General features: G+C 50.7%; 1 protein-coding gene across 2 annotated transcripts in view, besides 2 other annotated features; it reads right to left on the bottom strand.

Moving 5' to 3' along the window:
• Positions 1-12,576, bottom strand: part of PTGIS (prostaglandin I2 synthase) — a 64,264-nt gene that overhangs the window by 32,553 nt on the left and 19,135 nt on the right. For both annotated transcript variants that reach the window (NM_000961.4, XM_047440325.1), the window contains exons 3-5: positions 11,415-11,593; positions 7,879-8,022; positions 3,144-3,295 (exon numbers count right to left, since the gene is read on the bottom strand). In NM_000961.4, the coding sequence (NP_000952.1) occupies positions 3,144-3,295; positions 7,879-8,022; positions 11,415-11,593 (475 nt within the window). The remainder of the gene's footprint in view (positions 1-3,143; positions 3,296-7,878; positions 8,023-11,414; positions 11,594-12,576) is intronic.
• Positions 5,375-5,424: an enhancer, noted in NCBI's record as "active region_18062". NCBI's record gives its function as "activates an Ori minimal core promoter by ATAC-STARR-seq in GM12878 lymphoblastoid cells {active_cell/tissue: GM12878}" and the evidence as "EXISTENCE:reporter gene assay evidence [ECO:0000049][PMID:35858748]".
• Positions 5,880-6,156: a silencer, noted in NCBI's record as "fragment chr20:48158843-48159119 (GRCh37/hg19 assembly coordinates)". NCBI's record gives its function as "represses an EF-1alpha promoter that drives an FKBP-Casp9 reporter gene in an ReSE screen in K562 erythroleukemia cells {active_cell/tissue: K562}" and the evidence as "EXISTENCE:reporter gene assay evidence [ECO:0000049][PMID:32094911]".

Here is a 12,576-nt window from a genome sequence, read left to right on the forward strand (position 1 = left end):
CAGCAAACAGTGCTTTTTCTTTTTTTCTTTTCTTTCTTTCTTTCTTTCTTTCTTTTTTTTTTTTTTTTTTTTGAGACGGAGTCTCACTCTGTCGCCCAGGCTGGAGTGCAGTGGCACAATCTCGGCTCAGTGCAACCTCCACCCGCAGGGTTCTAGCAATTCTCCTACCTCAGCTTCCCGGGTAGCTGAGATTACAGGCGCCCACCACCACGCCCAGCTAATTTTTTTGTATTTTTAGTAGAGACAGGGTTCCGCCATGTTGTCCAGGCTGGTCTTGAACTCCTCACCTTAGGTGATCCACCCGTCACGGCCTCCCAAAGTGCTGGGATTACAGGCATGAGCCTCCGCGCCCGGCCACAGTGCTTTTTCTTGTTACCTCAGCCAATTCTAACAGCTGCCCTCTAGGAAGATCCTGCTGTTCCCCCCATTTTGCAGATGAGATCGCTGAGGCACAGAGAAAACACACAGATGCTGGGAGGGGGAGCTGGTAAAGCTCTTCAAGCCGTCAGAGCCCAGACTCTGTCTTAGCCACTCCCCTCCACGGTCCCTCCAGAGAAAGGAACTGGGGCAAGTAGAAGTAACTTGCTCCGAGTCACCAGCAAGGAAGCAGCAGCGCAGGAATTCAAATCCAGGCCTCTGCTGCAAGTCTCTGAGCCCAGCACACACAGCACTTCCCAGCCTTCTCAGGACACTTGTCAGACATGCAGTTTTCCAAGCTCTCCCCTGGAGACCTGGATTCCTATGGACCTGGATGGGGCTGAGGGACCTACGTTATGAAGAAGGGCCTGAGAGGATTCTGCTCATCAGGGAAGTTGGGGGCACATGGCCCAGGGAATGGCGCCGCCCAGTGGTTCCTACGGCCCCTGCACACGGAATCAGCCAGGACACTCTACCAACACTAAGTACGCTCTGCAGCCACAAAAACAGATGAGGTAGATTTTTACAAATCGATGTGGAAATGCTGTAGACAGGGAGTTGAGTGAAAGCTGTAAGCGGTACAACAATTCTTCTAGTGTGATATATCTAAGTTATAGAAGTACAGGCTAGGCAGGGCGTGGTGGCTCATGCCTGTAATCCCAACACTTTGGGAGGCCGAGGCAGGCAGATCTCCTGAGGTCAGGAGTTTAAGACCAGCCTGGCCAACATGGCGAAACACTGTCTCTACTAAAAATACAAAAAATAACCAGGCGTGGTGGTGCGTGCCTGTAATCCCAGCTACTCAGGAGGCTGAGGCAGGAGAATTGCTTGACCCCGGGAAGCAGAGGTTGCAGCGAGCCGAGATTGTGCCGCTGCATTCCAGCCTGGGCAACAGGGCAAGACTCTGTCTCAAAAAAACAAAAACAAAAACAAAACAAAAAACAGGCCAACAGCTAAAAGAAATGCACGTGTGCACTGAAAGATACGTACAAGAATGTTCACAACAACCTCTTCCTAACAGCTCCAAATGGGGGACTACTCAAATGTCTATCAACCAGGAATGGATAAACAAATTGTGGCATATTTCTTTAATGAAATACTATACGGCAATAAAAAGAACAAGCTGTTGGCCAGGCACAGTGGCTCACGTCTGTAATCCCAACACTTTGGGAGACCAACGTGGGAGGATTGCTTGAGCCCAGGAGTTGGAGACCAGTCTGGGAAACATAGTGAAACCTCATCTCTACAAAAAAATTTAAAAATTAGCCAAGCCTAGTGGCATATGCCTGTAGTCCCAGCTACTCAAGAAGCTGAGGGGGAAGGATCACTTGATCCCAGGAGATTGAGGCTGCAGTGAGCCGAGATCGCACCACTGCACTCCAGCCTGGGTGACAGAGTGAGACCCTGGTTCAGAAAAAAAAAAAAAAAAAAAAAAAAAAAAAAGGCATGCTGGCTCACTCCCATAATCTCAGCACTTTGGGAGGCCAAGGCAGGAGGATCGCTTGAGCCCAGGAGTTCAAGACCAGTATAGGTAACATAGCAAGACTCCGTCTCAAAAAAATTGTTTTTAAGACAAAAAACAAAAAATAAATAAAAACTGGACTATTGATCCATACAACAACCTGGATGAATCTCCCAACATCAAGTTGAGTGAAAGAAGCCAGGCATAAAAGGGCACATACTGTGTGATTCCATTTCTAGGAAGCTGAAGAATAGGCAAAACTAATTGGAGGTAAAAGAAACCAGTCCAGTGGCTACCTCGCAGGGGTGAATACTGGCTGGGAAAGAGCATAAAATGTTTAGATCCACTTCTCAGTGCATTTATTTATTTATTTATTTATTTATTTATTTATTTATTTAAGACAGAGTCTGGCTCTGTCACTCAGGCTGGAGTGCAGTGGCGTGATCACAGCTCACTGCAACCTCCAACTCCCAGGTTCAAGCTATTCTGCCTCAGCTTCCCGAGTAGCCAGGAATGCAGGCACCCGCCACCATGCCTGGCTAATTTTTGTATTTTTAGTAGAGATGGGGTTTCACCATGTTGACCAGGCTGATCTCAAACGCCTGACTTCAAGTGATCCGCCCACCTCAGCCTCCCAAAGTGCTGGGATTACAGGTGTGAGCCACTGCACCTGGCCTCTCAGTGCGTTTAGATGTGTGTGCTTTCCTGTATATAAATTATACCTCAGTAAAAAACAAGAAGTTAAAAGCTTCAAAAATAAAATAAAAATAAAAATAACACACATCTGTGTGTCTGTTTAGAGAAAGTGCTCCCAGGATGTACTCCAAGCTAGTGATGGTGGTTGCCTCTGTAGAGGGAAGTGGTGGGCTGAGGCTGGGGAGAAAGTGGAGCGCTCTTTTATTCTTCCCTGTAAATTATTCTATATGGCTTGAATTTTTTATAATCAGCACGAACTACTTGTAAAAACTTTTAAAGCAACTCAAACCTTAAAACACAAAAAGGAACACACACACACACAGAGATTCTCCAGCCCCACTCTAAATGTGCTGAATCAGAATTTCCACCAGGAACCCAAGCTCTGGTCCAAGCCCTGGCTCCCCACCATTGCGCTCTTGCATACCCCCAGTGATGGGGATCTTACTGCCTCCCTGGGCATTGGATGTCTTTCTGCCTGTGTTGCCTCTGGTCCTCTACCTTGAATTGGGCTCCCCCTCTGGGTCTTTCCATCCTCCCCCCCACCCACTGGGGCCCCCATGGTGCTTACCCACTGACAGGGAGCCACGGGCCAGTTTGGGGAGCAGCCGGTCGAGCTGGCGAAAGGTGTGGAAGACATCAGCTGAGTGGACGCGGTCCTGGGCCTGGCTTTCATGGGTGCGTGGCAGCGCCTCAATTCCGTAAAGAGTCAGGTAGCCGGCTCTGGGGGCGGCAGACAGAGGGTCAGGGGTCCTCCTGGGACACTCATGTGTGGCCACAGCTACTCACAAGAGCTTCATTCATACACCCAGTGAGCAACTACTAATCCTACTGTGCGCCAAAGACCATTCTGGGCACTGAACAGTCGGCAGTGAAAAAAACAAAAATCCCTGTCCTCAAGGAGCTGACCTCTCAGCACAGGGAGACAGACAACAGACGAGAGGATGAGTAAAATGAATAATGCGCCAGCTGGTGCCCCGCGGCACTGTCAGACACAAAGCTGGGTAGCAGGATGGGAGGGCGGGGGCTGTGGTGTCAGGTGCCAGGTGAGGGAGGGGCTGGTGTCAAGCTGACAGCTGAAGGCTGAGAAGGAGTCAGCCATGGGCAGAGCAGAGGGAGGGGTAGGAAGCAGAGCAAGCACCAGGTGTGATGTCCTGGGGCAGGAGGGAGCCCGGTGCTGGGGAGCAGCAAGGAGGCTGATGAGGCTGCAGCAGAGAGCTCGAGGGGACGGTGCTGAGATGGGGGCACAGAGAAGGGGAGGAGATGCCTGCTCCCAGGGAGGGATTCAGGGAAGACTTCCTAGAGAAGGGAGGGTCTGAGCTGAGATCTGCAGGATGATCGGGGGAAGCAGAAGAGGAACGTGTTCAGGCAACAGGCACAGCCTGTGCAAAGGCCCAGAGCTGAGAGTGCAACCGTGCCTGGTGGGAGAGGTGCCAGCTGTGGCTGGTGCAGGCACTGGAGCCGGGGTGTGAGGCAGAGGATGGGAGGGCCTGGGCTGTCAGGGCTGGCCACGCAAGGCAGGCATTTGCAGCAGTGAGAAGGTTGTGCTTGATCTGAGGGGCTCTGGGAGGCCCGAGAAGGAGGTCAGGGCCTGGTCAAGTGTGAAAAAGGGTAAGACATGGGAGCTAGCATGAGCTCTCATGTGCTCTCACTGAGGCACACTTACGCACACGCACACGCACACACACAGGACCACGCTCAGAGGACGCGCCTTCACCTCCAGCCCCCTTTAAATGCCCCAGGAGTCCAGCCCCAGCCCAGCGGGCTGACCTCAGTCCTGGGAGGGAAACTGCAGGCTTTCATTTTGTCATCTCTGCCTCAGCAGAGAGTCACAACAAAGAGACGCAACCAAAGCCCCGGGGCCTCACCCTCTCACCCTCCCCTTGAGCTCCTGGATCCCTGTGCAGACAAAGACCAGAGACCAGGATCTCTCAGGAGAGGGGTTTTCCCAGATGAAGAGAGAATGGAAGCAGGAATGAGGGTAGGTGGGGGCCGAGAGAGGCCTGCGTGGTCCCTGCTCTGTCCCTCACCTGCACAGTGGTGGCAGAAGTTGTAAAGGTGCAGCCCACACACTGGATTCAGTCCACAAATGTGTTTTATCAAGGGAGTTCCTAAAAACAAACTAAAGCTTCCTTCAAACATTTGGGGAAACTCACACAAAATCCGGATTTCCTGCTCATCTCATCTTGAAAAAGGAATCTGGCTGACCTGCGGTCCCACCTGGAAACCTAGCAGGAGCAGAGTTGCAGCCGCCCCTTTTAGACAGACACGTGCTTGCCAGGCCACTGCGGTACTCCCAAGGCCCTGTGGTCTCGGTGACACTGCAGTTGACACTGGTCATCATTTATCATCACACTTGCACTGTTGTTTTTTGCTAACTCAGAGAACCATTTCCCGGTACATATATTTCTACCAAAACAGGCAATGAAAAATAAACCAAAAAAGTAAACCGGCCGGGAGAGGTGGCTCACGCCTGTAATCCTAGCACTTTGGGATGCCGAGGTGGTTATATCACCTGAGGTCAGGAGTTCGAGACCAGCTTGGCCAACATGGTGAAACCCCCTCTCTACTAAAAATACAAAAATTAGCTGGGCATGGTGGCGGCACCTGTAGTCCCAGCTACTCAGGAGGCTGAGGCGAGAGAATCGCTTGAATCTGGGAGGCGGAGGTTGCAGCGAGCAGAGATCGCGCCATTATTGCACTCCAGCCTGGGCGAAAGAGCGAAACTTTGTCTTTAAAATAAAATAAAATAAAATGAAGGAAAAGAAAACAAAAAGAAAAAGTAAACCCAGAGGACCACAAGGTTTTGCTCTGTGGAAGCGAAGCCGGCAGCTCCATATCAAAAGAGCACGGCTGAAGACAGGATAATCCCATATGTAAATACACACACGACCCACAGGCGGCGCTAGAGCCACAAAGAAAAATAAAGCTGAACCAAGCTGGGTCACAGGAGGGAGCCATCACGAAAATGGGACTCAAGAAAGACCTCTCTGAGCAGGTGGCGCTCGCGATAAGGCTTAAACGAAGTGGGGTGGGAGCCACGCAGACCTGTGGGGAACAGCATTCCCAGGCAAGGGAACAGAAATAGCAAAGGCCACAAAGAGAGAGCGTGCCTGACCTGCTCAAGGGGCAGCAGAGAGGTAGGTGGGAGGAGGGGAGGCCAGGGCTACAAGGTGAGGACAGAGGAGAACTTTGGGTGTGACTCAGTGAGGCCAGGGCCAACACAGGCCAGGCTGGTGGGTGTAAGAGGTGGCACCTCACAGTTCGGGCTGCCTGAACCGGCACCCCTTTCACCTCTGTGTCCCTCCCATCCAACTGGCCCATTCTCTTTGTATTTCAGGGGCTGCTGATTGATGGCAGTGGAAAGGCCTACAGCTGCCAAGCCAGGGGGCAGGAGCTCCAGCCCAGGCCTCAGGCCCTGAAGACACAGTTACCGGGTTACAGGTATGGATTTACGTCTGATTCCCCCTGAGCTGATTCCCCTGTGCCTGCCGCTGTACCATGGAGCCTAGCCAGACCCAGCTGCCCCTGAGCCTGCCTCTCCCCAGCCTATCTCTCTCTGACTTCTTTGTCTGCACAGGGACCCAGGAGCCAGGAGACCTGGGAGGATCACTACTGTGAACTTGCTGGGTGGTTTCAGCTGGCCCTCTCTGGACCTCAGTCCCCATCATACAATGCAGGGTGGACCAGACCAGCATCACCCACACCAATTACAGCCCTTGACACTGTTTGCACCACCCCAGGGCAAAACAAAAAGAATGGGGACTGTTCGTGTGCTGAGAGCTGTGGCTGAGAGTGCAGACTCTGGGACCAGCCCTGTCCTGACCCCAACACAGGCCTCTGGGCAAATGACTCAGGCTCTCCAGGTCTCAGTTTTCTCATCTGTCAAATGGAATATGTAAAGTCCTAGCCTCCTAGAGCGATTGTGAGCATTAAAAGAGCTGAGACACGCCGAGTCTACACATATGCACACACATATCATAAATATACCCACATGCCCATATGTGTCAACGAATGACTGCCCTTTATCCTAGAACTATGTTGCTCTAATTTCTTGGAGGGGTTGAAATGTCCTTTTTTAAATTAAATTTAAATTAAATTAAATTCTGGTTGGTTAAGGGCATCACTAAAATCAGGGAGCTGTCCTTAACACCACTCTATCCCTCTCACTCACGCCCACGCTCCCCCATCCCCACCGCTGCCCCAGTCAAATCTTCCGGCAGAGCCAGTGAACTCTATCTCCAAAAGCTACCCAAATTCTCACCACCTCCCTGGGCCACCACCATTCTCTCACCTTGGTGACACCTGGCAGCCTCCTGCTAGGTCCTCCTGCCTCCCTCTCCACCCCTCCTTACCCCTACAGTCCATCCTCCATCCAGCAGCCAGAGGGGGCTTTCAAACTAAGTTAGATCATGTCCTGCCCCTGTGCAAACCCCTGATGTCACCCGATCTTACTCAGCATAATTTCCAAAGCCTTCCCTGACCTCCCGACTGCCTGAGGCCTGCTTCTGCCCACTTCTCTGACCTCCTGTCCACCTTCCCTCCTTGGCTCTTTATGCTGTAGCCACACTGGCCGTCTCTCTGAGCTTCCTCCCACCTCTGGGCCTTTGCACCTGCTGTTTCCCCTGCCTAGAGTGTTGGCGTGGTGGGCACTTTGCAGTTAGGTCTTGGCTCAGAAGCCAGACCCCCAGAGCATGACCCTGCCTCGTCAGTCGGCCTAAGAAAGCCCCCCAGATGCTGTCACCCCACCCGTGGATCTCTGTCATCGTGTTTATCACTCTCTGACATAACTCAATTCGGCCTCCCCCACTGGAGTGTCAGCTGTGTGAATTTGGGGACTTCATCTGTCCTGTTCCCTGCTGTATCCCCAGAGCCTGGATTAGTGCCCGGCACTGCTGAAGGAAGGAACGTTCGGTTGTGCAGTTTTTAACATACATTTACAAGACCAGATAAAAGGTTAAGGTCCCAAGTTGATCTCCCAAACATTTTGTTTTCTGTTCTGTGAAATCCCAAAGTCTGGAAGCCACAGGACAAGATGACCTCTGAAGTCTTGCTCTGTGACTTCCTCTCTGAATGACCTGTAAGGTCCCATTTCCAGCCAGTGTCTCCTTTTACAGTTCATGAGCTAGGTCAGATGAACAGCCGGGGCCCTGGTGCATGGCGTCTTTCCTACAGTCTTTGCTTTGGGTGTCTCAAATTGCTTCCCCCACCCACAGAGTCCTCACGGTTCCCTTGGCCACTGCTCATGGCTGACACAGGTCAAAGTGCCGGGCCCCAGCAGGAGGGTGGGGGCTGCACAGCCTCACCTGAGCAGGAAGCTGTAGGAGAAGTCGAGGAGACCCATCTCGTGCCAGCCACTGCCTGCTTCTGTAGCATCGCCCAACAGCACTGCATGGAGGTTGGTATACATGGCTTCTGTGAGTGCCTGGAGCTCTCTGTGGAGAAGAGTCCTGAGGCAGGAAACAAAAGCATGAAAATTTGGCTTCCAAAGGGAAATACACACCTACAGGCACCTCCCTCCCCAAACCTAAGGGTCCCAGAGCTCAAGCTCCCCATTGGCAAAGAGGTCCTGCGGAAGAGTAGCTTAAATAAGAGGATATTATTATGACTGTCATCGTCAACAATAGTTCCCATCTGTTATACTGAGCCTAATCTCATTTCGTCTTCAGACAAACCTGGGAATAAGAGTTACTATTATGACACCCATTTTACAGATGGAGAAACTCAGAAACAGAGAGGAAAGTGACTTGCCCAAGGTCACACAGCCAAAGCGGGACTGAAATCCTGGTCTGCCCAACTCCAGCATCTGAATTCTTAACCAGGAGAGTCTTTCCCTCCCTAAGGCACACAGCTTGGATAAGGGACCCATAGCGTTCTGGAAGAGAAGGAACTGAAAAGCAACTCATCTCTCCCTGAAATCTAAAGATAGGAAGATCTGTTGGAATAGCTGTGGTGTTCCCTGACTCAGGACTGCCAATAAGATGTGACCCTGGCCAGGCATGGTGGCTCCCACCTGTAATCCCAGCACTCTGGGAGGCCAAGGTGGGAGAATCACTTAAGTCCATGAGTTCAAGACCAGCCTGGGCAACATAGTGAGACTCCATCTCAACAAAAAATAAAATATTAGCCAGGGGTGGTGGCTCACACCTGTAGTCTCAGCTACTCGAGAAGCTGAGGTGGGAGGATCGCCTGAGTCTAAGAGTTCAAGACCAGCCTGGGCAACATAGTGAGATTCTGCCTTTACAAAAATAGAATAAATACACAAAGAATCACTAGCCAGATGTGTAGTAGGTGCCTGTAGTCCCAGCTACTCAGGAGGCTGAGGTGGGGAGGATTGCTTGAGTCCAGGAGTTTGAAGCTGCAGTGAGCTATGATCACACCACTGCACTCCAGCCTAGGCAACAGAGTGAGACTCTGTGTCTTAAAAAAAGAAAAGAAAAAAAAAAAAGACATGACCTCACATGAGAGTGACACAAGGAAAAAGGGATGTGGGCTGGAGATCTGGTCCCATCGTGTGGACCTGCACAGAGTGAGGAGAGGCCCCGTCTGGAAGAGTGTGGCAGAAGCTGGAAGCTCCCCTATACTGAGCCTCCATGATATGGAGTCTACACTGAGCCATGACTGAGGATATGATTAGAAGCCAAGAAAGGGGTATCTTGCATCTAAGTCTAAGGCCTCTCTGCTCCTTGTGTAGGATCTGGACCAAAAAGGATATCCCTACAGCAAGTGAAGTGGGGTGTCCATGGGCGGTGCACAGCCCATGGTCAACAGCAACACCTAGTGGCAGCAACAAGAACAGTGGGAGAGTGCCAATCAGGGCCCTGATCTGTCATGCCTGCTGTTTGGGAAGTAGGATGGACTGCTGTTTGGGAAGTAGGATGGACACCTTTAGACTGAGTAAGCCAGAAGTGCCTGGGTAATCCACCAGGGCAGGGTTTGCACAGGGCGTCCATGAACTCCTGGGTATGAAAAGGTTTGGGATGTTCAAGTTGGAACATAGTGGGAAAAACGACAGACATGGCTCATGACTCATGTATGACAATGCATGTGAAGGGTTCCGCACGGTGCCTGGCACATTGTAAGTGCTCAATACATGGGATCTGGCCTTCAATGGACCCTGACCCAGCTCTTCTCCCCACCCCACTCCAAGCGCTGGTCCTCAGCAGAGACAAGCCCTCAACAGATGTGGCTGCTGTGCCCAGAAGACATCACGCCAGCTTGTAAGAAATTCCAGAAAATTCCTGAGGCAAACACTGAAGGAAACTGGGATCCTCCCTGGGTAGCAGGGGCAGATTCAGTGAGCTGTGGATTCCTATTGCTAATGGGACCCCCAGGGTCCCCCTGGAATGTCAGGACCCAGGACACTCAGGCTCCAAGCAGCTGCCCCCAGGCCAAGGTTCAGAGGAGGCATCATGTCTCATCAACATCCACTTCATCATGCTGGCCTTGCTTCAGCCTTAACTATCTTGCAAAACAGTTTCCTAGATGCTCTTCCTAACCTCCAGAGGGTATTCCTCCTGGAGACAGATCACTGAAGATCGCCATTGGACTGTGTGAACTCTGCAGGGGCGGACACAGGGTCTTATCAGCCTTGGTATCTTAGATGAAGGAGAATGCGCTGTGAAGTCAGTGGACCTGGGTTCAAATCCCAGTCCTGCCACTTACTAGCAGTAGACTTTGAGCAAGTCACTTCACCTCTCTGAGCCTCAGTGTCCTCATCTGTAAAATAAGGATAAAAATGCCCACCTCTTTAGGCTAATGCACAGATATGAAAGTGAGCCTATCAGACACCTGGCCTATAATAGCTGCCTTCAAATGGTGGTTGGCACCGTTCTGCACACCCTACATCCAGGGCAATGACCAGGGTACAATGGGTCCTCAGATGTCTGCTGAATGAATGCAGAGCAAACATGTTCATCTGTTCTCTTATTGATATGATGACTCCATATGTGGCTGGGCATGGTGGCTCATGCCTGTAATCCCAGCACTTTGGGAAGCTGAGGCGGGCAGACCACCTGAGGTCAGGAGTTCGAGACCTGCCTGGACAACATGATGAAATCCTGTCTCTACTAAAAATACAAAAATTAGCCAGGTGTGGTGGCACGTGCCTGTAATCCCAGCTACCTGGGAGGCTGAGGCAGGAGAATCGCCTGAACCCGGGAGGCGGAGGTTACAGTGAGCCAAGATTATGCCACTGCACTCTGGCCTGGGCAACAGAGAGAGACTCTGTCTCAAAAATAAATAAATAAAATAAAATGATTCCTCCATATGTTTCAGGAGCTGTACCACTTCTGGCTATGTGGCCTGAGACAAGTCACTTCTCTGAGATCCAGTGGCTGCATCTATGAAATGGGGCTGTAAGTTACTTAGCCTCCAGCATTGTTGTGAAGACTAATGAGATAATGCATGCTGCCTGGCAGAGTATGGACTCAGAAATATTCATCATTCCACCTCTCTCCTTCATTTTACAGAGGAGGAAACAGAGGCTCAGAGAGGGAAAGAGGTTTGTCCAAAGTCACAAAGCTAGGGAGTGATGGGGCTGGGATTTGAATTTAGGTGTGGCTGACCCAAACCCTGGTCTCCTCCTACTAAAATCAGGGCTGCCTCCAAACAAACAAACAAACAAACAAACAAACAAAAAAACCCGCCAGAGATGAGAGACAAAGAGTTCTTCTTCCACCCAATTCTTTTGGGTTGTTTTTTGTTTTGTTTCTGTTTGTGTTCTCAAGACAAAATGTCTTTACCGAACATTTGCTTTGGAACCAAGAATAACTTGGGCCACATGAGTAGAAATGAGTCGCCCACCCTGGCCCTCCCACAGGTGCCATCTCCAGCCACTCACAGTTTCATCCTGGCCTTTTCATCACTGGGGCTGTAATGTGGAAGCTGCACATCAAAAATCCTCTCCATGAGGAAGATGGCATAGGCATGGAAGTCGAGCCTGGTGCGAGGCTCCCACACCACCGCGTCGTAGGAGTGTGGGTCCAGGAGAACGGTGACATACCTGCCCCCAACCAGTATCTGTGGGAAGTTGCCAGGGATAGAGTGAGGAGTGTCACTGTGAACAGCAGCCGCTCTCAGTGGTCAGGGCCTTACTGTGTGCCAGGCACTGCCCCACTGGACAGTAACACACTATGTTCTCTTATCTATGCCTCACTACCACCTACCACCCTGTGAGGTAGGGACCATCACTCACCCATTTATAGCTGAAAAAGTGAGGCTTAGAAAGGAGAAGAAATGTGCCCAAGATCTCATAGCTGAGAAGTGGCAGGACTAGGACTGGAATTTGGGAATATTGAGGCTTTTTAAAATCAAAGACTGTGTTCTCTACCACCTCACTCTTAAGCACCTGCCATGATTATCTTGGTTATTGCCATATCTCCAGTAGCCAGGAGAGAAGGCGGCAGATGGATCCTGTGCACATCATGGATGGATGGATGAATGGATGGATGAATGGATAGATGGATGGATGGTTGGATGGAAGAATGGATGGATGGATGGATGGAAGGAAGGATGGATGGATAAGTAGATGGATGAATGGATGGGTGGATGGATGGATGGATGAAAGAATGGATGGATGGATGGAAGGAAGAATGAATGGATACATGGATGAATAGATGGATGGATGGATGGATGCTGTTGGGTAAATTCCAGTGGGTGGATTGTAGAAGAGTAAATGGGCAGATGGATGGATTGGTGAATGGGTAAATGAATGGAAGGAAGGAAGGAAGGGAGGGAGGAAGGAAGGAAGGAAGGAAGGAAATTGCTGGGTAAATACTTGTGGATACAATGTTAGATAGATGGATAAATGGAAGGATAGATCAATGAATCTATGTTGGATGGAAAGATGGATGGAAGGGCAGCTAGAGGTTGGTTGGAAACCAAATGTACCAATAAATGTTGGGTACATGGATGAGAGAATGCTAGGTAGATACTGGGTAAAGTGAAGGATGAATGTTGATTGGATGGAAGTTGGAAGGATACATGGAAGGTGGGTGGGTGGT

Source organism: Homo sapiens, chromosome 20, assembly GCF_000001405.40.
Source record: "Homo sapiens chromosome 20, GRCh38.p14 Primary Assembly".
Classification (NCBI taxonomy): Eukaryota; Metazoa; Chordata; class Mammalia; order Primates; family Hominidae; genus Homo; species Homo sapiens.